The 27842-nt window shown below is 39.8% G+C and overlaps 1 protein-coding gene and 1 long non-coding RNA gene across 12 annotated transcripts in view, besides 3 other annotated features; one reads left to right on the forward strand and one right to left on the reverse strand.

Moving 5' to 3' along the window:
• The window catches only part of LINC01584 (long intergenic non-protein coding RNA 1584), a 33373-nt gene extending 12870 nt beyond the window's left edge, over positions 1-20503 (reverse strand). Inside the window, exons 1-3 of the long non-coding RNA NR_120368.1 lie at positions 20401-20503; positions 13559-13647; positions 11321-11440 (exon numbers count right to left, since the gene is read on the reverse strand). This is a non-coding gene — a long non-coding RNA (long intergenic non-protein coding RNA 1584). The remainder of the gene's footprint in view (positions 1-11320; positions 11441-13558; positions 13648-20400) is intronic.
• AGBL1 (AGBL carboxypeptidase 1) overlaps positions 1-27842 on the forward strand; it is a 951857-nt gene that overhangs the window by 16595 nt on the left and 907420 nt on the right. The window lies entirely within an intron of this gene.
• Positions 26020-26557: an enhancer, noted in NCBI's record as "OCT4-NANOG-H3K4me1 hESC enhancer chr15:86665465-86666002 (GRCh37/hg19 assembly coordinates)". NCBI's record gives its function as "activates a minimal SCP1, AML or CMV promoter by ChIP-STARR-seq in primed H9 embryonic stem cells {active_cell/tissue: H9 hESC(primed)}" and the evidence as "EXISTENCE:reporter gene assay evidence [ECO:0000049][PMID:30033119]".
• Positions 26558-27095: an enhancer, noted in NCBI's record as "OCT4-NANOG-H3K27ac hESC enhancer chr15:86666003-86666540 (GRCh37/hg19 assembly coordinates)". NCBI's record gives its function as "activates a minimal SCP1, AML or CMV promoter by ChIP-STARR-seq in primed H9 embryonic stem cells {active_cell/tissue: H9 hESC(primed)}" and the evidence as "EXISTENCE:reporter gene assay evidence [ECO:0000049][PMID:30033119]".
• Positions 27096-27633: an enhancer, noted in NCBI's record as "H3K27ac hESC enhancer chr15:86666541-86667078 (GRCh37/hg19 assembly coordinates)". NCBI's record gives its function as "activates a minimal SCP1, AML or CMV promoter by ChIP-STARR-seq in naive H9 embryonic stem cells {active_cell/tissue: H9 hESC(naive)}" and the evidence as "EXISTENCE:reporter gene assay evidence [ECO:0000049][PMID:30033119]".

Here is a 27842-nt window from a genome sequence, read left to right on the forward strand (position 1 = left end):
TAATGTTATTTAAATCCAGCTAGATACTGTTTCCTGTGCAGTCTCTGAGCCTCAGGTCTGCTTTCTGTTTTCTAAAAAGATTAGCAAATATTGGAGAGGTACTGGAAATAGACTAATAACTGAGACTTGAACGGACATTTCCCAAAAGAAGAATAAACACTTTACTGAGAATAAACATTTTTCTTTATGTGATACAGTGATATTTAATGCTGTGTCTCCTGTGGCAGCTAAATCTAGATCATATACTCTCAGTAGGAGGTTTTTTACCTTTCAAAAAAATCCTGGATTAGGCAGTCTTTTGGGTAAAATTATATTGTTCCATGATTCACTACTTGTGTGAGAAGAGTATTGGGGAAAAGATATGAATTATAATTTTTTCAGGTCATGCATCTATTAAATTAAATGCTATCCAGAAGCTTGAGGAATTAAGTTTGTTGGCTGAGGTTCCTAATATTATGAGCATGCCATATTTGAAATGTAGCCATGATGAATAGTAAAGAGAATTCAATGCTTCAATTCTTTCAATATCCCTGGAAGAAGGAGCTTTTCATAGAAAATAGACACTCCTTCCTTGAGTAACCTAGTATAGTCCTACCCTATGTCCCAGCTTCCCCTCCTCTGAAGTGGCTGATCTGAAGTCAAATGCTCTAAGATCCCCTCTTTGTGAAATCACCAGTTTCTTAATCAGATATCTTTTTTCATGCTGACCAGGTATTAGCCCACTTATCTTGGGACATTTAGGCATTAATAGGAGGGACCTAAAACATTGTCCTTCTTGTGATCTTCCTGGAAGATATCAGACCCTGTACTGAGACGCTCAAACCTGCAGACTCACTTCTAGAATTCTATTACCTCTGCATATGTAGGTCACCATCAGGAGCAGAGTTTTGAGTCTTCTCTAGGACTTCAGCTGTATTCTAAATGTTATTGGGATTGCTATTCCTGATTCTTTTTGATGTTTATTTTTAGAATTGATACATCATATTTTTACATATTTATGGGATACATGTGATATTTTGTTACATATATAGAATGTGGAACGAGCAAGTCAGAGTAATTGGACTATCCATCACTGAGTATTTGTTGTTTCTGTATGTTGAGAACATTTCAGGTTCTCTCTTCTAGCTCTATTTAAATATACAATACATTGTTGTTAACTGTAGTCATCCCACTCTCCTATTGAACACTAGAACTTATTTTTCTAACTGTATGCTTGTACATATTAATCAACCTCTCTTTACTCTTCCTCCACATTGACTGCCACACACCCTTCCCAGCCTCTGATAATCAACAAGCTAATCTCTATTTCCATGAGATCCACTTTTTTTTTTTTTTTTTAGCTCCCACGTATGAGCGAGAACATGCAATATTTGTCTTTCTGTGCCTGGCTTGTTTCACAAAATATAATCTCTGGTTCAATCCATGTTGCTGCAAATAACATAATTTCATTCTTTTTTATGGCTGAATAGTATGCCATTGTGTATATATGCCACATTTTCTTTATCCATTCATTCCCTGATGGACATTCAAGTTGATTCCCTATCTTGGCTCTTGTGAATAAACATGGGGATGCAGGTATCTCTTTGATATATAGATTTTCTTTACTTTGGATAAATACTCAGTGGTAGAATTGCTGGATCATATGGTAGTTCTATTTTTAGTTTTTTTAGAAATCTCCATACTGTTTTCCACAGTGGCTGTACTAATTTACACTCCCACCAAATGCATATGAGTTAATTTTTCTGTGCATCCTCACTAGCATCTGATAGTTTTTGTCTTTTTAATAATATCCATTCTTCCTGGGGTAAGATATTATCTCAGTGTAGTTTTGATTTGCATTTCCCTGATGTTTAGTGATGCTGAGTAATTTTTCATATACTTGTTGACCATTTGTATGTCTTATTTTGAGGAATGTTTATTCAAACCCTTTGCCCACTTTGTAATAAAACTATTTATTTTTTTTTTGCCATTGAGTTCCTTGTATATTCTGGATATTAGTCCCTTCTTGGATGAATAGTTTGCAAATATTTCTCCTGATTAACAAGTTATCTCCTCATTCTGTTGATTGTTTCCTCTTCTGCACAGCAGCTTTTTAGTTTACTATAGTCCCATTTATCTATTTCTGGTTTTGTTGCCTGTGCTTTTGAGGTCTTAGCCATAAAATCTTTGCTTTGGGCCAATGTCCTAAAGTGTCTCCCCTAAGGTTTCTTCTAGTGGTCTTATAGTTTTGGGTCTTATGTTTAAGTCTTTAATCCATCTTGAGTTGATTTTTATACATGCTGAGAGATAGGGGTCCATTTTCATTCTCCTACACATGAATTTTCAGCTTTCCCACCACCATTTGTTGAAAAGGATGTCCTTTCCCCAGTGTATGTTCTTGGTACCTTTGTCCAAAATCAGTTGGCTGCAAATATGTGGATTTATTTCTGGGTTCTTTATTCTGTTTCACTGGTCTATGTATCTGTTTTTGTACAAATACCATGCTGTTTTGGTTGCTGTAACCTTGTAATATATTTAGAAGTCAGGTAGTGTAATGCTTCCAGCTTTGTTCTTTGTGCTTAGGATTGCTTTGACTCTTCAAGCTCTTTTTTTTGGTTCTATAAAAATTTTAGATTTTTTTTAATTCTGTGAAAAATAACATTGGTATTTTGATGAGGATTGGATTGAATCTGTAGATTGCTTTGGGTAGTATGGTTGTTTTAACAATATTAATTCTTCTGATCCATGAGCATTGGATGTCTTTCCATTTTTTAGTGTCCTCCTCAATTTCCTTCATCAATGTTTTGTAGTTTTCCCTGTAGAGATGCTTCACCTCCTTGAAGCCTTGATACGCAACATATCAAAATCTATGGCACACAGCAAAAGTTGTGCTAGGAGAAAAGTTTATAGCAATAAATGCCTACTTCAAAAAAGTAGAAAATACTTCAAATAAACATTCTGATAATGCACCTGAAAGAACGAGAAAAGCAAGAGCAAAACAAACCCAGAATGAGTAGAAGGAAATAACTAATAAAAATCAGAACAGAGATAAATGAAATACTGACTAAAAAAAATTACTAAGAATACCTTACATTTATTCCCAAGTATTTTATGTTTGGTAGCTATTGTGAGATTGCTTTCTTGATGTAGTTTTTTATTGGTTATTTTGTTATTGGTGTATAAAAATGCTACCGATTTTTTGTGTTTTGGTTTTGTATCCTGTCACTTTACTGAAATTGTTTATCAGCTCGAAAAGTTTTTGGTGGAGTTTTTTGGCTTTTGTACATGTAAGATTATGGTATTTTCAAAGGACAATTTGATTTCCTGTTTTCCAATGTGGATGCCTATTTTTTTTTTTTTTTTTGAAACAGAGTCTCACTCTGTTGCCCAGGCTGGAGTGCAGTGGTGCGATCTTGGCTCACTGCAACCTCCGCCTCCCAGGTTCAAGCGATTCTCCTGCCTCAGCATCCCACATGAGGCTAATTTTTGTATTTTTAGTAGAGATAGGGTTTCACCATGTTGGTCAGGCTGGTCTTGAACTCCTGACCTCAGGTGATCTGCCTGCCTTGGCTTCCCAACATGCTGGGATTACAGGTGTGAGCCATCATGCCTGGTTCCAATTAGATGCCTTTTATTTTTTTCTCATGCCAGATTGCCTAGTACTTTCAGTACTATGTTGAATAAGGGTGGCAAAAATGGGCATCTTGTCTTGTTCAGTTCTTAGAAGAAGGGATTTCAGTTTTTCCTTTTTGGATATGATGTTAACTGTGGGTTTCTGATATATGGCTTTTATTAAGTTGAAGTGTTTCTTCTATGTTTAATTTTTTGAGAGGTTTTTTTTTTAATCATGAAGGAATGTTGAATTTTATCAAATGCTTTTTCAGCAGGTATTGGGATTGTCAGATGGCTTTTATCCTTCTTTCTAAAGATGCGATATATGACAGTTATTGAATTGTGTATGTTGAACCATTCTTGTATCCCTGGTATAAATCCCACTTGACCATGGCTTATTCTTTTTATGATGCATGTTAGATTTAGTAAGCTAGCATTTTATTTTTGTGTCTCTGTTCTTCTGGAATGTTGGCATGCAGTGTTCTTTTTCTGTTGAGTCTTTGTCAGGTTTTAGTATCAGGGTAATGCTGACCTTGTAGAATGAATTAGGGAGAATTCTCACCTCTTCAATTTTTTGGAATAGTTTGAGAAGAACTCGTGTTGTTAGTTTGGTAGAATTCAGCAGTGAAGCCATCCAGTCCTGGGTTTTTCTTTGATGGGAGAAAGAAAAACCCAGTCTCCCGTCTTTTGATGGGAGACTTTTTTTTTATTATTATTACTGATTTAATCTCATTACTCATTATTGGTCTATTCAGGTCTTCTATTTCTTCCTAGTTCAATCTTGGTAAGTTGTATGTGTCCAGGAATTTATCCCTTTTCTCTAGCTTCTTCAGTTTCTTGCTGCATAGTTCTTCATAATAGTCTCTGATGATCTTCGTATTTCTGTGGTATCAGTTGTAATAGCTTTTTTGTTGTTGTTGTTGTTTCTGATTTTGTTCATTTGGGTCTTTCCTCTTTTATTTGGTTAGTCTATCTAGCAGTTTGTCGATTTTACTTATCTTTCAAAAAATGAAATTTTCATTTTGTTGACCCTTAGTATTATTTTTTAGTCAGTATTTCATTTATCTCTGTTCTGATCTTTATTAGTCATTTCCTTCTACTCATTCTGGGTTCGTTCTGCTCTTGCTTTTCTAGTTGTTTCATGTGCATTGTTAGAATGTTTATTTGAAGTTTTTCTGCTTTTTTGATGTAGGCATTTATTGCTATAAACTTTTAGCACAACTTTTGCTGTGTGCAATAGATTTTGGTATATTGGGTTTCAATTTTCCTTTGTTTCAAGAAATTTTTTTATTTCCTCCTTAATTTCTTCCTTGAGTTAATAGTCAATCAGGATCACGTTTAATTTCTATATATTTGTACAGTTTCCAAAGTTCGTTTGTTATTGATTTTTAGTTTTATTTTATTGTAGTCCGAGAAGATACTTGATATAATTTTAATTTTATAATTGTTGAGTCTTGTTGTCGTCCTAACATTTGGTCTATCCTGGAGAATGGTTCATGTGCCAATGAGAAGAAAGTATATTCTGTAACTTGTGAATGAAATGGTCTGTAAATGTCTGTTAGTTCTAATTTGGTCTAATACGTAGCTTAAATCCAATGGTTTTTTTTTTTGTTGTTGTTAATTTTCTGTCTTGATGATCTGCCTAATGGTGAGAGTTGGGTGCTGAAGTCCCCAACTATTATTATATTAGAATCTACCTGTTCTTTTATATTTGATACTATTTGCTTTATAAATCTTTGTGCTCTGGTGTTGAGTGCAGTTATGTTTACAATTGTTATGTCCTCTTGTTCAACTAATTCCTTTATCATTGTGTAATGACATTTGTCTTTTTTTTTTTTTTTAGTTTTTGACTTATAATCTGTTTTATCTGCTATAAGTATAGCTACTGCTGTTTGCTTTTGATTCTGTTCATGTGGAATATATTTTTCTATCCCCTGACTTTCACCTATATGTTTCTTTACAGGTGAGATGAATTTCTAGTAGGCAGCATATAGTTCAGTGTTTTCTAAAAATTCATTATTTCAGTCTATATCTTTTAAATGAAAACTTAATGCATTTATATTCAAGATTGTTATTGATATGTGAGGGCTTATTCCTGTCATTTTATGAATTTACTTCTGGTTGTTTTGTATAGATGAAGAAACCTTTGTTCCTTTCTTTCTCTCACATTGTTAATCATTGTGGTTTGGTGGTTTTCTGTCGCAGTAACATTTGAATCCTTTCTCTCTCTCTCTCTTTTTTTTTTTTTTAATTGAGATGGAGTCTTGCTCTCTTGCCCAGGCTGGAGTGCAGTGGTGTGATCTCAGCTCACTGCAACCTCCGCCTCCCAGGTTCAAGCGATCCGCTCACCTCAGCCTCCTGAGTAGCTGGGACTACAGAAACGCACCAGCATGCCCAGCTTATTTTTGCATTTTTAGTAGCGATGGGGTTTTGCCACATTGGCCAGGCTGATCTCAAACTCCTGACCTCAAGTGACCCGCTCACCTCGGCCTCCCCAATTGCTGGGATTACAGGCATGAGTCACCGTACCAGGGCTCCTTTCTCTTCTTTATTTGTGTGTTTGCTCTGCCAGTGAGTTTTATACTTTCACATGTTTTCATGATGGTAGATACTGTTCTTTCATTTCCAGTTGTAGGACTCCCTTAAGCATTTCTTGCAGAGTCAGTCTAGTGGTGATACCTTTTCTCAGCTTTTGCTTGTCTTGGAAAGACTTTATTTCTCCTTCATTTATGAAGGATAACTTTGCTGTGTATAGTATTCTTGCATAATATTCCCGCCCCACCAGCACTTTTAATATATCATCTCATTTTCTCCTGGCCTGTAAGGTTTCTGTTGAGAAATTCCCTGTTAGTCTAATAGAGGTTCCCTCATAAGTGACTAGACACTTTTCTCTTGAGGTTTTTAGAATTCTCTTTTTGTTTTTGACTTTTGACAGTCTGACTAAAATGTGCTGTGGAGAAGATGTTTTTGAATTGTATCTATTTGGGGATCTCTAAGCTTTCTGTATCTGGATGTCTAAAACTCTAACTAGAGTTAGGGATTTTTCAGCCACTATTTTGTTAAATAGGTTTTCCATTTTTCTATTGTCTTTCTATTTTTCTATTGTCTTTCTATTTTAATATTGCCTTCTGGGACACTGAATATTTAAATATTTGGCCACTTTAAGGTGTCTCATATGTCATGTAGGGTTTGTTCATTCTTTTTTCTTCATTTTTATCTTTGGGTTTTTTTCCAAAGACCTGTTTTCAAGCACTGAAATTGTTTCTTCTGTTCTAGCTGTCTATTGTTGAAGTATTTTTTATTCATTTAATAAATTATTCATTTCCAGGATTTCTGTTTGGTTCTCTTTAATTATATCTATCTTTTTGGTAAATTTGTCATTTATATCCTGAATTGTTTTTGTGATATATTTGTATTGTTCATCTGTGTTCTGTAGCATAACAGGGTGAATTATAGTAAAAAATAATTTAATTGTACATTTGAAAAATCACTGAGCTTCTTTAATATCAATATGTTGAATTCTTTTTCTGGGATTTTGTAAATTTCCTTTTTATTGTAATCTGTTGCTAGAGAATTATTATCTTTTTTTGGAGGTGTCGTGTTTCCTTGCTTTTTCATGTTTCGTTTGTCCTTATGTTGATATCTGCGCATCTGGTAAAGCAGTCACTTCTCCCATTTTTTTTGGATTTGCTTTTGTAGGGGAGGGCTTTTTCCTGAAGACATACCAATGGTGTTGGTTAGCTAGGACACTTTGGCTTTGCTTCTGGGTGTGTGCAGTAGTATAGTCTCCATGTAATTTCTTCACCTGTAAACAGTGTTAGTGGTGTCTGTGATTTTCTCAGTGACTTAGGTTGCAGTTGTTAGTGGAGGCTGTGGTGAAGTTTTGCTGGGGATGAAAACACCAGACAGTCCAATCCTCAGGCCCCAGTGAAGGCAGTTGCAGGCTGAGCATGCCTTTCCTTGGTCCTCAGGGTGGCATATGCTGGCGTTGGTGTTAGCTATTCTAGGCAATTTGGTTCTTGGGTCGCCAGGTGGCTTGCTGACTTGCTCAGATGCAAGCAATGACAGCAATGGGCCAGGTGGATGGGTGGGTCCTTAGGACCCTGGACAGTGGGCATGGCATGAGTAATGGCAGTAGCCATAGCAGGACAACCCTCTAGCTCCCAAGTGGCCTGTGCTGGTATTGGCAGCAGCTGTGATGGGTGAGGAGGGCCAGTCTTGAGGCACACAGGTGGTGCATGCAGGTGGGTGCCCGCTGTGCTGGTAGCTGCAGATTGAGTGGGACTGTCCTCAATCCCATGAGAGGAGTGCTCAGGTGCCAATGGTGGTAAATGGGGCAGGGTGAACCCAAGGCTCCCAGATAACACATTTTGGTATTGGGGAGGATAAAGATGGGCCAGGTGGGTGTGTCCTCTGGCCCTCTGGTAGTGCATACAGGTGCTGGTGTGGTAGGCAGGGATGGGGTGATCCCTAGGGTCCCAGTGGAATGTTTGGGTGAGGACAGCAGTGGCTGTGTCATGGCCCTGCTGTTGGGTGGGTTGCTTTTAGTGGCAGCAGCCATAGACAGGCAGCTGGGGAGTATATGCTTTCACCCCAGTTGATGGCTGCAGGTAGGGTAGCCTGTCCTCAGGTCACTTGTAAGTGCACAGTGGCTCTGCTGCTGAGGTGGCAGGGTTGCTGCCAGTGGCTTGTGCTTTGGCCCTGGGTGCAGCAGCCAGTAGTGGCAATGGCTGTATGTGGGGGAGTCTTCTCTCAGGGCACATGAAAACGCACAGAGGTCCTACTGGGAGTGGCAGGCTTGTTGCCAATGGCTTGTGCTTTTGCCCTGGAGGCAGCAGCCAGCAGTGGTGATGGCTAAAGCTTAGGGATGCCCGTGGGGCTCCCAGAATGTGGAGATACAGGGGCTGTTGGGCCTTACAGCAGGATGCAGTCTGGTGAGGGCTGGGCTCTCAAAATAGCATCTTCCTGTAGCTTCTTAGGACTTGTGGGGGTGGTTGTGGGACCCAGTGCGAGCTCCCTCTCTGGAGTAATGCCAGTGTACGATCTCTAGGTAGCTACCTATGTTAGTTTCAGGGCCCACAATGGTCAAGGGGCTTTCCCATGGCTAGGGTTGCAGGAGTCCATGGTGAGAATGTGGACCACTGGGAGCCCCTTGCCTACCCTTCCCTGCATTGGGGAGCCTCTCCAGGATCCCAGGTGATCCTGGCTGAGAAAGATGCCTGATTTCCCTCTCCTTCCTTGCCTTAGGTATTTATTGCCACTTCTTGGTTGAATTCCAGTGTTCTTTCTTAGATGATCTATTCGAAGTGTAATAATATACTTGCTATTTTGGTTCTTCTTTGTGGAGGAGGCAAGTACCAGATGCCTCTAGTCAGCCATCTTGAAGACTCTCTCTTCCTGATTCCTTGTTGAGCTATGTTGACAGATATTTCATGCCAGTCTTTCTGCTCTTCAATCACCCAATGTTGAGACTCTGGACATCTCTTGCTGCAGTCACCTAAGCTAAGTAACCAGAGGATGACTGAATTCTATGTAAGTACCAATTTATATCAGTAGTAATAAGTAAATTAGAAAGACATATACAAATTACCTTACCTGGGGCTAGTAAAGGCACAAACTCATGTTAGCGGGGCCACCATCACTAATTTAGTTAGATCTGTGTTCTGAATATCCCTGAGGAATTTGGACCAGGAGGCTTCTTGGCCTCTATCATAAAACCAATTGATGTCAATAAATAAACAGTGATAAGATGACAACCATCAGCTAAATGGTTGAGAAGGAAGAAGGTGAGGGGAAAGAAGAGGAGAACAGCAGGAAAGAGAGGCCTTTACTCAGCCCTTTTTCTATTTTCCGGGTCACAGGGCAGGGCCAAACATCTTTGAATACAACCTCTATGTGGTTAATAGATCCCTCAGTTACAAAGCCCAGGTTTGATTACACAAATAAGTGTCTTCTATTCTCTTCTAGGCCAACCCAATCACAGTTCTTTTTGTAACTCTTTGAATCTTTTCTTGGTGTACAGACTTTGTGGTCAATTTAACAAGGTCTGTGAAACTGAGTTAGTTTTACACATGCAGTTTTATTTGGTGTGCCTTACAAGTTACATGGAATATCTGGAATTACACTAGTATTTCTAGAGTGACCTGATAACTCAGCCCTTTGTTTCTTCCAATCACATCTGAAAAATCACTTTTGTCTTTGCTTCTAAATGTTTTGCTCCCATGTGGTTATTTAATTCTGCAAATGGCACAGGGACAGAATTTTTATGACTAGTAATGTGCAAGTAAATGTGTGTTCCATCTGATGTGTGGGCAACCTCTCTGGTATGATATAACCTAGTATGCTGTTGTATTTGTCAAGTGGTTGGATATACAGATAACAGGGTAGTAAATGTGGTGCTTACATTATATGTGCTTGGTCTTTGTAAGATGTGATCCCTAGAATTCCTTTCAGGAATGCTAAATTCCCCATTACCTAGAACAAAATGCATTTGGATGTACCCACTGTACCTATGATCAAAGCAATTTTCATGCATGATATTCTGGGGGAGCATGGAGAAGGAGGGTTGATATAATGCAGAAGATTTTTAGACCTACCTTGAGTCCTAATGAGATAAAACCTCCATCTGATTTTCAGATAATACTTGTTCTTTTCACTCAATTCCAGTGGCTGTTCCAGGGCAATTTTGCCCCCAGGGGATGTTTGGCAATGTCTAGAGACAATTTTGGTTTTCATAATGGCGAGGGATGCTACTGACTAAACATCTTGCGACACTTAGCGTCCTACTCTGCTGATTGTCTTAAAATGGACAGAACACTTCCTTCATCCCCAGTCCAAAATGTCAACAGTGCCAAAGTTGAGAACCCCACTCGATTCAATCAGTCATTTATCCATTTTACTGATCTGGGCTGAAACTTAAAATGGCACAATACCAGATAGCACAGTATAATTTTGTCTAGATAATAATTTCTCTAAGAGAGATAGAGACAGAGATGCTGTACTTGCTAGTTCTTGGAGTTGCTCATAGAAAGATCAGGCTAGTGGATCTCAGGACAAACATTTTCTCTCCAGAGCCATCTCCTAACTCCCTGCTGGCAGTGTGCTGTGGAGCCCTGAGAACCAACTGGCAGTGATCAATGTTATTTGCTTTGATGTATTCCTGAGGCTGGAGGGATTGTTGAACTATATGAGTGACACACGCCTGGAGGAGAAGAGTATTATAATTCACAAAGGGGAGAAGGAGACCAATTAAAGTAGATTAAAAACAGAACATACTGTGGGAAACATTCAGGGCACAAAATCATCCAGCAAGCTGATGTATGCACACCAAGATCCATGGAAGATGAATATGGCATCCTGTGGTTTACAAGTTCATGGGCGACCACAGGACAATGTGAAACAGGAGAATTTCACAAACAACTGTGATCCTCCATGGTTTCTGTTCTGTTCTTATTTCTTCTGCAGCAGAGCTAAAGATTTTAGAACTTAATTTTCATATGTAGTGGCCAGAAATTGGCTTTAGCTTTGGAGAGAGCTGAGTTGCAATCTAGGTTCTACTGCATATAAACTATGTGCTCTTAGGCAAGTTATCTAGCTTCTTTAAACCTTAGTGTCCTCATCTATAAAATGAGGAAAATGATACCTACCTGCTGTGAAGATGAAAGGAGATGTAGTTTGTGAATATGCTTACACAGTCTTGGCATGCCCTAGGTGCTTGATGAATACTCACCCAAGTCTTTTGCTTTTGGAGCAGAAGCAATGTCAAATCTCTCCATTCTACCAAAATGTTGAGCTTTTCAGAATCACTTTCTTACAAGCTTAGGAAGCTCTTCAGAGTGCAATTCACCATCTAGAATTCATCAGTGGGGATGGGAGGATAAACATTTGTACTCACATTTAACAGTGTTCTGGGTTTTTCTGTTGTTGGGTAGGGCTCAGTGAGGCGAGAAACGGGAGGAGGAAGAATGGCAGACATGATTCAAGAGGTTCATGGATTGGAAAACAGGGATCTCTAGGAACAGACTGGCTGCTATTTTGCCCTCTCAGAGAGCTTCTCAAAGCCTGGTGCATCCATATGGGTTCCAATTTGTGTCTTGCATAGTAGTACCTCATTTTTTATAGGAAGATCAGCTCTCTTAAAATAGAGTAAGAACCAAGACAACAACCAATTCATGCATAGGGAGAGCCCAGATGGATGTCATGCTATAAAATCTGTACACCATGTGAGGAGAGCCTCATGCTACCATAATCAGGGCTGCCTTACAACCCTATTTTACATACAATTAAACCTTTTGATCTAACTTGCAAGCCAATTATCTCGCTGCAACCAGCAAATTAAAATAAGGGGAAGATACTAAAGATGCTTCTTTGACAAAAGCAAGGAATAGCAGCTCTCTTGAGGAGAGATTTAAGTTTACATACTTCACATAGAACAGGTTGAGCATAATAGTAATTTTTGCAGCAATAAACATTCATTCTCACTGAGAAAGGTGAGATGATTTTGAGTGTCTTCTGTTTAAGGGCATGGGGAATTTCTCTTCAAACTATTTATATAAATAGATAAATAGATAGATACAGCTATAGCTTTACTGCTTAAAGACATAAAGGTATAGGCTAGACTAATCATTGAGGAATAATTTAGTATGCCAGAATATAGGAGATTAGAGTGCACCCTACAAATACCTCCTGTAGTCCCAGGACATTGGTGCATCCTTAACCTAGGAAGTCAGGGGCTCAGAAGCTCACTATTAATTTCAAGTGGATACGTTTAGGTGCTCCAGTTTCTCTTCTTGTAAAATGCAAATAAATTGAGGTCAAGAGAGATGACTGGAAAATGCTCCAAGATCTATAGCTAACAAGGAGCGGGAGCATGGCCAGGCGCAGTGGCTCATGCCTATAATCCCAGCACTTTGGGAGGCCGAGACGGGCGGATCACGAGGTCAAGAGATCGAAGCCATCCTGGCCAACATGGTGAAAGCCTGTCTCTACTAAAAATACAAAAATTAGCCAGGCGTGGTGGCATGCACCTGTAGTCCCAGCTACTTGGGAGGCTGAGGCAGGAGAATCACTTGAACCCGGGAGGTGGAGGTTGCAGTGAGCCAAGATCGCGCCACTGCTCTCCAACCTGGGCAACAGAGCAAGACTCCATCTCAAACAAACAAACAATCAAACAAACAAAATCAAGGAAGGGGAGCATGTTGAAGTGAGAATATCTATCATATTTAAGGTCCTTCTCTTTTTTGATTAAACATCTCTAGCTGTAAAATGGATATTGGTTGCCTGAAAGTATAAAATGAAAGGAGTTAGTATATCTACTACAACTCCTTGGTATACTTGGTAGGTACTCATTAAATATTACTATTAATGTAAAATACAGTACTACAATAATAATAACCAGGGGTAGATCTAGGTTCTGGGGGGCCTGAAGCTTATGCAACTTTGGATCTCTCTTTAAGGAGAATAATACAAAACTACAAATACAAAATTAAGTATGAATGAGGATACTTATCTGGAATAAGAACTTTTAGAAAGCAATGATTTTTAAAAAGCTGACAAATACCACAAGCTTCACAAAATCAGAAAAATAATGTGTTTTAAAATTGACTTCCTGGCATTGCTTTATAATCCTTTTTTCTCATATCTTTTCTGGCTGAATTTTCTTTGATTGCTCTATTCATATGACATTTTATATAATACCATTTTCTATAGAGAAAATAAGGATAATTCAACCTCTTCTGTAGCATGGTTGATCAAAATTTGTTTTTTACTACTGACAATTAAAGAAAAATTTCTTTCAGCTCCACAATTTGTTTTTTGGGGTAATATCAAGTAAACATTTGGGATTATTGTCAGATTTGAGAAAACTTCTATCAAACTTCTTTTAAGAACTGTGAGTTTTGAAAGAGCATTTTATAAAGCAGATTCCAGCTCTGTCCATTGCATGCCACGTTTCTCCTCCATGACTCACATTCAGTGCTGGATGCTGAAGGCAATGTGCTCGTGATCGTGGGACCTTCCTGTTATGATGCTGGGGAGTCTGCACAGGTCGTGATGCTCCTGGAAGCCATTGCTATAATCAGATGGCTAGCAGTAACTTAGCTATCCACAAAAGTTTCTGCAAATCATACAAATAAATTCCGCTAAACCCAAGCTAAATAGATCCTCAACTCAACTCCAAAGCCACCCGAACAGGAATCTTAATTGTAGTTAAAATACCTTCCTCTTGCTAGTGGTACAAAATCATATGTCTATGTAAACACATGACTGGGACCCCGTCAGGTATTGAAAGAATCCCATGCAAGTGAGGGACTCCAAAGCTTTAGCTGCGTAAGATTTATGGTAACTCTACCTCTGGTAGTGACAAATAGCATTGAGGAGAAAATTACAGTTGACCCTTAAACAACGTTGGGGTTAGGGGCACTGACCCCTGTGCAGTAGAAAATCCATGTATAAGTTTTGGCTGCCCCAAACTTAAATTCTAGTAGCCTATTGTTGACTGGAAGCCTTACTGATAATGTAAACAGTGGATTAATACATATTTTGTATGTTATATGTATCGTATAGTGTATTCTTACAATAAAGTAAGTTAGAGAAAACAAAGTGTTATTAAAAATCATAAGAAAGAAAAATATATTTACTATTCATTAAGTGGGAGTGGATCATCTTAAGGGTCTTCATCCTCATCTTTACTTTGAGTAGGTCGAGAAGGAGAAGGAAGAGGCGGGGTTGGTCTTGCTGTCTCAGGGGTGGCAGAGGGGGAAGAAAATCCATGTATGAGTGGACCAGCACAGTTCATACCCATGCTGTCCAAGGGCCAACTCTAGTAGAATTGGGCCACCAGTTTGCTCAAGAACTAGCTGTGTGACCTAAGGTTAATCATTTTATTTTTTATGGACCTGGATTTCCCATCTTTGAAGTGAGAAGTTCAAATTAGGGGATGTGTAATGTTCCTGATACCCACAACAATGGTTGATTCGGTGAACAGTTTCTGAACGAGCCTAGCAGTGTCAGGGCAGATGGGGAAGAGCCAGAGGAAATAGTTGTTCCTGCATTAAATACCATCCCTCCCTCCCTTTCTCCTCCAGCAGAGGTTTGTTTAGTAAACAAATCCCGAGTTTTCCCAATACAGCCAAGCTATGAAAGCTCTGTGCCACCCAGTATTGCTACAATTACTAATGTGACAGGCCTATCTTTTATTCTCCCAGAAGCAAGGCATGAGGAGTGAACTGAGCTGTCTGAATGACTTACCCAGGCATTTCTCTTTTGAAAGCCATCAGGGCAGGAGGAGAATTGCCTGGAGGCAGCTGGGCTCAGGCCAATGCCCCGGTTGGTCCTGAGCGTCTCCTGTTTTTGAGGTCCCTAGAAGTCAGACTGTAAGTTTGGGAGGATTCCATGACCTTCTCTCTTTACCTCTTGGCCTTTGATTTCTCTCCTTTGATGGATGGACTGGGAATGGGAGAAAGGTGGGTAGTGACTAGTTCTGCTTGGGCAGTATGTACTTTGAATGCTGCTTTAAGGAAGTCCTGGGAATAGCCAAGATTCTGGTGTATGTGTGTCTGTTACGTAGAATAAATTCAGCTGCTAGGAGAGTGACCAGAGAGGAAATTTCTTCTTCTGAATGTTTGTATCTATTTTGGAATTTGGGTGTCAAGGTAGAGATGGGGAGAGTTTTTGGCTTTCCAAGCACAGAGGCTGACACACAGGCAAGGAACAACTGTTGTTGAAGCTGAAGCCTCATGGCTGTTTCCCTTGGCCTGCTGCTTTGGTATGAGTGGGATAGAGGTATTTGGAAAAGAAGTGACAATTTGAATTACATTTTGAAGACCCAGTAGAAGTTTCCTGGGAGAACAAGTTGGGGAAAACACTTGTGTAGTATCAAAAGGCATGCTCTTACTTGTTAACATGGAACTGCTGACAAATAGAGACCGTCCACTGATACAGGGGTCTCCAACCCCCGGGCCACAGACTGGTAGGAACAAGACCATGTTAGGAACCAGGCCACACAGCAGGAGGTGAGCAGTAGGCAAGTAAGCAAAGCTTCATCTGTATTTACAACCACTCCCTATCTCTCTCATTACTGCCTAAACTCTGCCTCCTGTCAGATCAGCAGTGGCATTAGATTCTCATAGGAGCACGAGCCCTGTCGTGAACTGCGCCTGTGAGGGGTCTACGTTGCTCTCTCCTTATGAGAATCTAATGCCTGATGATCTGTCACTGTTCCCCAACGACCCCAGATGGAGATGTCTAGTTGCAGGAAAACAAGCTCAGGGCTCCCACTGATTCTACATTATGGGGAGTTGTATAATTATTTCATTATATATTATAATATAATAATAGAAAATAAAGTACACAATAAATGTAATGTACTTCAATCAACCCACAACTACCACCCCACACCCACCCTGTCATGAAAAAATTGTCTTCCACAAAACTAGTCCCTGGTGTCAAAAAGGCTGGGGAGCTCTGCATTGATAGAAAGGCTGATAACGATGTATGGGCGTTTGTCATTCCACATCTTGTTCTTTGCATTTATCCGTTTATATGCATGTTTAAACAAAAAACGACATGCTACACATACATTTTTGTGTATTTAACACTATAACATGAATATCTTCTCACATTAATAAAAATGTCCTACAACAACATTATTATCAATGATTGAACATTGTTCCATTGTATTATGGCAATTTATTTAACGTTAGACATTTAGAGTGTTTTCAATTTTTCACGATTAGCAACAGTGATGAAGTGATGAGGATCTTCGCAAATAAGATGTTTGTCTCCATCCCTTGGGAATAACTGCAGTAAAATTGTTGGGTCAAAGGGTCTGTACATTTTAAAGGCTTTTGATTAAGTATTTCTAAATCGCCAATCCAGGAAAGATGTAGCAATTTACACTCTCTTCAGCAGTGTAGGAGAATGCCTATTTCTTCTCACCCTCACCAGGGCTGGATTTTTATCAGGCTTTTAAATCTCTTCCCATTTGAGAGGAGAAAGATGGTAATTCATTTTAATTTGCATTTCTTTGATTACTAATGTAACTGATTTTTTTTTTAAAATAAGCCTATTAGCTATTTGAATTTCTACTTTTGTAAATTGCCTGTTTATTTCTTTTGGGTAAGGGAAAGTTTTACTTTAGGAAAATTCCCCTTAAAACACTAGGGTCAGATTTTTAAAAGCATTGTCTTTTGTTCTCACTCTTCAAAAACATGCCTTCCACTGGAAAAATGAAGAAATGATCTAAAAGGAGGAATGGTTTCTCTGTTAGTAAATGGTGAGTCTATCAGCAATGGGACTGGGGCAGATTTTAGCTTTCCTGCTTCAGCTCCTAGCTGTTACCTCAGAGTTGGCTCTCAGCCTTCTTAGTTTCTGTTCAGTACCGTTCACCTCTTTATTTTTTCTTTTTCTTTTTCTTTTCTTTTCTTTTCTTTTCTTTTCTTTTCTTTTCTTTTCTTTCTTTCTTTCTTTCTTTTTCTTTCTTTCTTTTTTTTTTTTTTTTTGGAGACTGAGTCTTACTCTGTTGCCCAGGCTGGAGTGCAGTGGCACGATCTTGGCTCACTGCAACCTCTGCCTCCTGGGTTCAAGCAATTCTCCTGCCTCAGCCTCCCGAGTAGCTAGGATTACAGGTGCCCACCACCATGCCCGGCTCTTTTGTATTTTTAGTAGAGATGGGGTTTCACCATGTTGGCCAGGCTGGTCTCGAACTCCTGACTTCAGGTGGTCCACCTGCCTTGGCCTCCCAAAGTGCTGGGATTACAGGTGTGAGCCACTGCACCCGGCCCACCTTTCACCTCTTTCACCTGCCTTTCAGTCGAGCTATTTGAGTAGCTGCATTACCATTCCCCATCCTAGGTTTTAAGCTTCTAAAAGGCAAGGAAAGTTTCTTCTTTTTCTATAATGCCATGCCACACCTAACATAGTCACTTGTCCATCACAGGTGCTCACTATGCGAAGTGAACAAATAGGGAATGCCACTTCCCAATAGTACCGTTTTACTACTAGGCAAGTTTGAGCTTTCTAGCCCTTCCTCAAACTTGCTAGGTAGTCTAAGAAAAATGACCCAAATTTACAGTGCTTATTCTCCATGCCCCAAAGGAAAGATTGGTAATATTTGCTTATAAGATGCTGTGTGTTATATTGGTTCTTTGAAAATACTGATAATTACTGTGGAGCTAAAAAACAATTAAGAGCATTCTACACATAAGTCATTAACTACACTTGAAATAAAATATGTGAGTTACCAGTGACATTTCAAAGACTATATTTGTTAATAACTGAGGCTTAACAAATAGAAATTATTTATAAACTTGTCTGAAATGGAAATCCAATAGCTGTTTCTAGTCTTGTTGAACAATCCAATTAAGGGACTCTTTATATATAACATGTTTGCCATTTTCCCATTTGAAATATTAAGATGATGTTATATTTAAAATCTGCAACTGGCTATTTGATAGTGGCTCTGTGTCTTCAGCCTTGGACCCTTGGGGGAGGTGAGTCTGCACTCTGCCTTGGCAAGGAGTCCAGAAGGAAGAACTCAGAGGTGTCACTTCCAACTGAACTTGTGGGAGGTGGCCTGCGTCTTCTACTCTGGTCTGCTTGTGTGTGCCTGTCTGCAGAAGACATTCTCTGTTGCAGATCTAGTGGGACTCCTAGAGCGCCCTGCATTTGTGAAAAACAATAGGAACTTAGCTCCTTATGGCCCAAATGCTGACTCAATATCAATATGATGTAGATATTGTACTTCCATGATGGGAGTCCCTTTCCAAGATTTTAACCTCTAAAACAAAAAGAAGTTTGGGAGATTCCAGGAAGGGTCTTTTTTTCACCGATGTCACAATTCCATGCATATGAATCCTGTTGAAGTTGTAGGCCTTGCTGGCTTAAGGGTTCCACATAGCAGAATGTGGCCGATAAAACAACTGTATGCTAGCTGAGCTTGGTGCAAATGACAACCCACACCATGCTTGCCCACTTCAGAACTGTTTGCATGCATGGGACAATTCGTATCCTATAACGAGATGCTGAGGTCCAACGCTACAAGTCTGTTTCTCAGTGAATTCACTTGGAGCCTCGTTCTGATGAGATTCACTGTCAGAGTAGCCTGAGCTGTCAGTGAATTTGACTCTTTTGTTAGAATGTCTTTATTGAACTTCATGATAGGCTCTCATGTGAAAAGGGCTGAAAAAATTGTGGCTGCTAGTGGTGCTAACTGTTCACCACTGGGTTATGGATAAACACTGCCTGGCACCTCAAGTAAGGAAGACCTGAGGTAATATCTTGACTGCTAAAAAATAGCTACTGGGATCTCAAAATGACACAATGAGACCACTTTTGTTTTCCTAAAAATATCCCTCTTGAAGGATGTTTGAGCCATCTAGGTAGCATTGTGACATCCATCTTGCTTCCAGTCCCATGATGCAGGGGAGTACCATAAAGTCACAGTGGTGGATTGTGACTGTGAAGATGAAATTTTGACAGCAACATCCACTTTATTCTAGTCTAGACCTGCCTGGTAAAAAGCAGTACCACTAGGTTGTGCTAGAGTATAAACATAGCACGATGTGCATTTCCTGGCAAATCTTTACTTTATTGGCTATTTCTTTCTTTCTTTTTCTTAAGAAAAAAAATTATCTGTTCTCTGTAACTTAGAAGAACATATCAGAAATATCATTGTGATCACTGTTGTTTGAAAAGAAGGGCCTTTGAATGACAATATTGTGATTTTTGTAAAGGCCGGAGGTAGTGAAATGCTCAGAATTATTTATACTTACTCCCAGATACCGCTTAGTCACCTTCCAACATCTGGTGCTCTGGGATGAGGACTACTGCTCCTCTTCAGTCTTCTCATTGGTGCCTCATTTTCTGTCTGACTTGTCAGCACTGGAAAGCTCAAGGCTATCTCTCGGGTTCTCTTTCTTCTCTTCTCTGTGTACTTTCCTAGGGCATCTTCCTCAGTCACATACCATGTGTATGTTAAGGGCAATGATGCCCCAGCTATATCTCTGGTCCTGACTTTTCCATGAAACTCCAGACTCATCTCTCCAGGATGACCAAACATTTCAGCCTTCTGGGACAGCTCTGCTTTATACCTACTCTCCTGTTATAATTATTAGTAGGGCTCATTTCTCTCTCAGAAGATTTCAGTCATGTCATCCTATACATGAGGTTGGTATTTAAGTCAGATCATGTCACTTTTCCAACTAAAATTCTCTTATAGGAAGGAAAGTAAATAATTGAGAACAATAATAAAATTGACTGTATCACTAAAATAGGCAGGGAACCTAGAATTTATTGAGTGCCATTGTGCTATGTTATTTGCATTTGTTCTCTCATTTAATTTAAAATTCATCTCAACTCTGTTTTGTGAGTATTGCTCTAGGTGATTTCAGCTACAGCAAAACACAACCAACCAACCAATCGAGAACAAAAATGTAAGGCTCAGAAAGATTAAAATAACTTGCTTAGGATTACACAGCCAGTAAAGTATTAGAGCTGGGTTTGAATCTTAGTTCTCTCTAGTGCTAAAGCTGAAGGATTATGTGTTTGTTTTTTTCCAATTACTTTGTTGATGTGATGGCTAATGTGTCAGCTTGAGTGGGCTAAGGGATGCCCAGGTAGCTGGTAAAGCATTATTTCTGGCAGGGTGTTTCTGGGAGAGATGAGCATTGGTTCAGTAGGCTGAGTAGAGAAGATCCACTTTCATCATTGTGGGTGGGCATAGTCTAATCTGTTGTGGGCCCGAATACAACACAAAGACAGAGGAATGATGAACTTACTCTCTCTTCTTGAGCTGGGACATTGGACACTTACTCTCTCTTCTTGACCATCTCTTGGTTCTCTGGCCTTCACACTATGGGACTTACACAAGCAGAGCAACCCCTACCCCTGATACCTCAGGTCTTCACACTCAACTAGGAGTTACACAGTCAGCTTCCCTGGTTCTTAGAACTTTGGACTTAGACTGAATTCTATTGGGTTCTCTAGGTTGCAGATGACAGGTCATGGGACTTCTCACCTCCATAATTACATGAGCCAATTATCACAATAAATCTCTCTCACTGGTTCTGATTCTCAAGACAACCCTAATACAGTTGGTAACCAAGCATCTTTCTTCATCTGGCCTCAGAAACACCTTTCTTTTCTTTTCTTTTTTTTTTTTTTTAACATGTTTTCGTGTTACTTAGGCCAGTTGCTTAGTGATCTATCAATGGTCATCATCAAAGTCTTGTTGAAGAGTTTTCCTGTGTGATTGTATTCATTAGAATTAGATTTGGCTATGGCTCATGGGAACTAAAATCACTATTTTATTCCTTTTTACATAAAGAAATCTGGAGGTGAGTGTTCTGGGGGTCCACACTCATGGCTCTGGTTTCCCTCCATCCTGATGTGATGCATGATTACCTGCCTTGAGAACACCCCGGGCTCTGGGATGGCTGCTGGGAATCCCCGCTAAAATTGGTCTGTTACTAAGGAAAATGGGGAGAAACCGGCAGTCTGCTCTCCTGACCAACTTTTTTTTCCCTTTATTTCTCAGTATTTGAGAATTTGTTTTTCAGAAGAAGTCTGAGTGTGTAAGGAATAAAGCCTAAAATGAGGTCTATTTGGCATCTGATTGACCTACCTGTAATTTCCAATTTTCCCTGTGTGACTATTGTGTTGAGCAAGTTTTGTAACTTCTATGACCTAGATACTTTACACAATTATCTCATTTAATTCTCACTAAAGACTCCAAAGTAAGAATTATCTCTATTTCACAGATGAGGAAACCAAGGCTCAGAATGTGTTTTTAGTGCATATCAAGCAATGTATAATGTGCAATGATTAACACTTCACGTGTGCACAAGAGGTATTCAAAACTCTTCTTGACCTGTTTTAATCAAAAGTTTCCCTCCTGATCATCAAATGGGACACGTCATCCTTCATATTTTTTCTTTTTCTGGGTTTTCACAGAAAAAGTAACAACAACAACTAAGCTTAATGTAATTAGAGATGATAGAAGAACATCATGGTTTTAACAAATTCACATGCCTGAAATCCAACCCCAGGACCTGTGATTTGGTGATTTGGATTGGTGCGGGAATCTGTAGTTTAGAAAGGTTATGTGTAACTCCATTAGTGAGCTTCTGGCACAAGAAGAATAACTGTCAAGACTTGCTCTGCGGATCTTAGTTTGGTATCTTCTTGATTTGAAAAGTCTCTGCTTATTCCAGTGTTTGTGCTGTCACATTAAACTGCTATCTCTGAATTTCTTGTTACACTGACATTGTTACCGTTCTCCTGGGTGTCAATATAATGTTTCTACTCAGAAAATCTCTCTTTCAAGAGATGGCCCTCACCTTTTCCCAGGTGGACTCAGTTCCATTTTTAAAGGTGCTGCCAAGGGCTTTAAAAGCAAACTCTCATTTGAGGTGCTGGGGAGCCCTAGTTCATCTTGTCTTTCTCCCTTTGCTTCTCTCTGGAGTAAAGGCTGGCAGAGGAGAATGAGAATAAAATTATTAAAAGTCCAAATTGGCAGGTAGGATTTCAAAGAACAAAATTAATTGTATTCAAGACACGTCTCCCCTCTGTTTATGCTCACAAAATGCTGTCTTTGCAAGAACTCTGCAGCACCACGTACACTGTTGGCCCTCTGCGAATCAGCACCAATGACAACATTATAATTACACTTCAAAAAAAAAAAAGGCAATGAGAAGTTGCATCTTAAATTTCCTTTATTTGGTTGCTCTAGGAGCTTCTGTTTGAGTACAGCATTGGAGAGCAGGTGCAGAGGTTAAAAATATGCTCATAAAAATCTAGAACCCAGTGTCTTTTTGTTACATTCATAATAAATAAGAATGCTTTCCTGGAGGCTCAGCCATTAAGGGAGGTGATGGGGCAGGAAATAGGAGTTCTTCTCTTGGATTCTGTTTATAATGCAGTCAAACAAGGGTAAGGAGGCTTAGCTAAAGCTTTTTTTGGGTGGGGTGGGGTGGTGGGACTAGCAGGCAAATTTGTACTAATAATTAACCATGAGCCTGTCAATTTCTCGTCTATTGTGCGAAAAAGTGTCTCTTGGCATAAGCATAATAATAGCAACTCCCATTTATGTAGCATCCACTGCTTACCAGACAGGGTACCAGGAACTTTACAGACATGATTTCAAGCTGCCACAGCAAAATTGTGGGTGAGTATTATGTAATACTCTGAGAGTCTCTGAGAGGGCACACAAGGGGTGCATAGCTAGTAAGTGTCAATACCAACATTTAAACCCACAGGGTCCAAAGTGCTTGCTCCTTTCTCTAGATTATTGGCTTGATTAGGACTCATTTGGTTGCAAGTAACTAAAGCCTACTTCTGAATTTCAACCAACTCAACTTAAACCACACTCTGGGTTTAGTAAAGCTAATATAATTCAATTTCAGTTTACATATAAAAGAGAATTTATCACAGAGATGCAAAGGTTTCTCATCAGACACTAAAGTGAGTCTGTGTCTCCTGAGTGAACTGGAACCAGTGCTTAAGTGTAGGTAGGACTCCTGCAGATTTTTGTCTTTGCTTTTTTTTTTTGGCACACCTCAGTTCACTTTTCCTTCTTGCTACTGATGGGCTTCTTCTGGCTCCTCTCTCAACTATCCCCACATCCTGCAAATACTGCCAACGGTTGCTGAGTTCAGCAGGACACAGTCAAGGCACCTGAAGAGACACCAGATTCAATAGTCGTGATAAGTGGACTGATTGGCCCAGCTTAAATGATCTGCCCCCCCGGACCCATCAACTGGGGCCAGTGGGGAGGTTAAAACTATAGGAACATGATGGACCCCACAATGGCTAGGTGGTATAAAAATGGAAGAGCATATCTCAGAAAAGTAGTTTGTGTGTGTGTGTGTGTGTGTGTGTGTGTGTGTATGTATTTGCACGTTTGTCTGTATGTGGAAACTAGTAGATAAAAGTTGTCCAGTATGACTGTGCAGACTGCAAGTATCTCCTGGTTGTGGGGTCCTAGTAGCTGCATAGTTTGCCACACATCACTTTTAATTCTATCCTTGTGGATGGCTCCCCACAAGGGACAAAAGTAGAAAGATTCGAGTGGTGCCTGAAGAAAGCCAAGGAAGAAAAGAATTTGTCCATAATCTGTTCTTAGCATCAAATCTAAATGTCTGTTAACTATTTACAAACTAACTCGATTTCCATTCATTCATGTACACATTATTCATTCATTCTCGCACTCATTCATCTACTCATTCATTCAAGTACTCATTATTCATTCGATATACTGAACACAAGAAACAAAGCCTCAAATATAGAGGCTGCCATTGCCTATAGGATAAAATCTAAACTCCCCATTAAAATCTAAACTCCCCATCCTGCCTTCCCAGGTCATCTTTTGCTTTCTCCTGCATGTACTTGGGGCTGTAAGATATGTTGCAATGTTCTTTTGCCTTTTTTACTTGATAGATGAACACCTATTGGCTTTAAGGCAAAGTTCCAGTATTCTCTCCCCAGCCTTGTCTTTGCAACACTCTCCTTGCTCTTAATGCAAAGCTAAGTCACTCCTAATGTTCCCATAGTACTCAGTGAGCCTGTCTCCAGGATGCCCATTAACCTACAGTGTACTTGTCTGTCAGTGAAAAGATGGTGTCCCCTCCTGGAGACACTTTGTCAAATGCTAAAAAATTGTATTAAGCATGCAAATCAATACTGATTGTGATGGTAGATGTGCCCTCTTAGACCTGGCCCCATGGAGAAGAGCACAAGGTGCATGGGTAGATGCAGTGGCTGTGAACCACCTCCACTGCACAACAGCCTGCGCTTTTCTGTTTGTGTGTCTGTCTCCACCATTGTGCCACTGGCACAAATTGTTTCTCACTAATTGTGGATCCCTAGTGACTAGCAGAACTCTTGGCACATTTTTGGTTCTCAATAAAGGTATTTTGGTTCAATGCAAAAATGAGTAAAATATAAGACAAGAGTATTAATTTCTCTAGAAATACCCCTTTGGCATAATAAATGTGTTTCTGGTTTCTGCCCCAAGGATAAAAGAAACTTTTGGGCTCATGTATTTCCTACTGCCTACTTCCCTCTCCTTTTCCCTTTAAGTTCTTGTTTGCTTTTATGGATTTTTTTTTTTTTTAAGATGGAGTCCCGCTCTGTTGCCTAGGCTGGAGTGCAGTGGCATGATCTCAACTCACTGCAACCTCTGCCTCCTAGGTTCAAGTGATTCTCCTGCCTCAACCTCCTGAGTAGCTTGGACTACAGGCATGTGCCACCATGCCTGCCTAATTTTTATATTTTTTAGTAGAGACAGGATTTCGCCATGTTGGCCAGGCTGGTCTCGAACTCCTGACCTCAGGTGATCTGCCCGCCTCAATCTCCCAAAGTTCTGGGATTACAGGTGTGAACCGCTGTGCCTGGCCCACTTTTATCATTTTTTATTATAGAAAGGGTCTATGGTCATTTTAGAACAATTGAAAATTGAATAAGCAAAAATAATTTGTCATTTTACTATTAAGAATAACAACTATTAATATCTACTTTCCCAGATATTTTTCTGTGCCAAAAATATACACCAATGTGGGTTATTTTTAAAATGAATTTAATCATCCCCTTTAAATAGAGATTAGGCAAATATGTAAATGTAAAAATCACAAAGAAATAGGTCTAAGAGGGACCTTATTTAAGATTAGAGTTTCAAACAGTGGTGCTTGCTACTTTGGGAGATGCTAAGTTCCTTGTCCCTGGATGTATTTTAAAAACCAAAAAGATTAGAAACTTCTTCATTTGCAAGTTGTAGGGGTGATTCATGTACTCGACAATAGTCATATTAAAGAACTGAAGTCTGAGTTTCTGATTCATTTGGAGAATCCTCATGGATTCTAAGAGGAACCCACGTTTCTAAAAGTGTCTGCTGTGTTGAGAGCCAGAAGGCCTAGCATTCTGTAGCCCTGTCTCAACCAGCATAATCCTGAAAGGCAGCCTCTCAGAGGTTAATCTTTGAACACACTCTTAGGTTTACTTAGGCTTTTCAGGTTGACAGATGAATTTTCGTTCCACAGTGTGGTATAGTTCAGTGTTGCCTAATGTAGTCATTGTGCAATTAGCATTAAATTAGTTATAAGATAAAATGAAACAAATTTGGCTTTTTGAAAAGGAGGACTTTCATACAAGGCCAAACTTAAGGGAAAGAAAGCCAGAGAACATTTCAACTCAGAAAGCAATTTGCTTTGCACAAGGAAGTCGGAAAATTACAGCCCATCATACCTAATTACTACACACATTTGCGTTTGAATGTGCGCTCTCCCTCCAAGGAACTGTCTCCAAGTTTCTTCCCCTTCACCTCTCAGCAGCCAGAATCTACTGCTGATGGAAAATAGTCATTGGAGCAACAGGATATTGTCCATTTCCCGACATGGTCACAGGAGGTTCTGACAGATTGAGTGTTGTACAGGGTCCTGTTGCAAACGGAGTAATGGGCATATGTGATCATGGAAAATAGGAAGGAGGAGAATGTAGATATTCCCGTGAAAGCTGATGGAATGAAATGTGATTCTCCTTCAAACTTCAAGGATTTAAAGAATATGTATAGATACTGCCCCTCCAAGAGATAGTGCTTAATTCTACTCCTTCTTCTCAAGTGTGGGCTAGACATAGTGACTGGCTTCCAAGAAACAGTATGGAAAGCAAAAATAATGTCACAGTGCAGAAACATGGCATGCATCACTTAAGTGATAAACCAAGTGAAGACATCATCAGCTACATCATGTGTTTATCACTGACCCTGGATATATAACAGAAAGGACCTCTGAAGATCCATAATCCTCATCTAATTAAAAAAAATCAGACTAACCCAACTGGGGGCCATTCTACAGGTTACGTTTTCACTACTCCTCAATACTGTCAAGGTTGTGAAAAAAAGGTGTAAACCAAAAGTGAAATTTTAAGCCCCTTAACCAACTGAGTGGACCCTTCCTCTTGGCCAAGAGCCTTCCAAAGTTAATCTGAAAGACTAGTTCAGGCCATGATGGGAAGTGGGAGTTGAACATGTCTCATTATACCCTCCTCCCTTTGGAATTCAGGCACAGCTGACCAGCATTAACATTAAAACAGAGCTCTTAAGACTGACAAAGCAGACTTTTCATAGCAATAAGACACCAAATTCCAGCCTGACTCTAGTATAGCATCACATAACAGATAGCAGGCCCTGAAAGAAATCAAAGTATTTTACCCCAAAATATATGTATTTGACATATCTTGAAATGGTCCAGCAAAGCTGTCGGTTGTGGGGAAAATCTGCATTCTATAGAGAATCTCTATTCCTTTCTAGATCTTTTCCCTGCTCCAGGAGAGAATTAACTAAGAGTCGGGCACCTTATTAGCTCTGATAAGAGATCTGAAGCCTGCTGCATAGAGGTTTTGTCTGCATGAGAAAACCCTGGTCTCCAGAACCCCTTTGTCTTTTTTTTGTTGTTGTCGTTTTGAGACAGAGTCTTGCTCTGTTGCCCACACTGGAGTGCAGTGGCACAATCTCAGCTCACTGCAACCTCTGCCTCCCAGGTTCAAGCAATTCTCCTGCCTCAGCCTCCTGAGTAGCTGGGATTACAGGTGCTTGCCACCATGCCCAGCTAATTTTTGTGTTTTTAGTAGATATGGGGTTTTACCATGTTGGCCAGGCTGCTCTTGAACTCCTGACCTGAGGTGATCCGCCTGCCTCGGCCTCTCAAAATGCTGGGATTATAGGCGTGAGATACCACGCCCACCCCGGGACCCCTTTGTCTTAACTAAGTCATTCCTTTCTATTGATCCCGGGCTTTTAGATAATAACTCTTCCAATAAATTGCCAATCAAAAAATGTTTGAATCCGCCTATGACCTGGAAGCCCCTGCTTCTAGTTGTCTCACCTTTCTGGACCAAACCAATGTATATCTTACATGTATTGATTGATGTCTTATGTCTCCCTAAAGGGTATAAAACCAAGCTGTAGCCTGACCACCTTGAGCACATGTTCTCAGGATCTCCTGGGGCTATGTCATGGGCCACTGTTCACTTGTATTTGGTTCAGAGTAAATCCCTTCAAATATTTTGCAGTGTTTGACTCTTTTTTATCCACAAAGGAAGACTGAGAAACCGCCACAGACCAGAGGAGACTCGGGAGAGATGACAACCATATGCAACATGGTAACTGGGTGGGATATTGGAATGGAACGAGGACATTAGTGAACCTGGTGAAATCTAGTAAAGTCCAGAGTTTAGTTAACGATAATGTACCAGGCGGGGTG

Source organism: Homo sapiens, chromosome 15 (assembly GCF_000001405.40).
Source record: "Homo sapiens chromosome 15, GRCh38.p14 Primary Assembly".
In the NCBI taxonomy this organism is placed as follows: domain Eukaryota; kingdom Metazoa; phylum Chordata; class Mammalia; order Primates; family Hominidae; genus Homo; species Homo sapiens.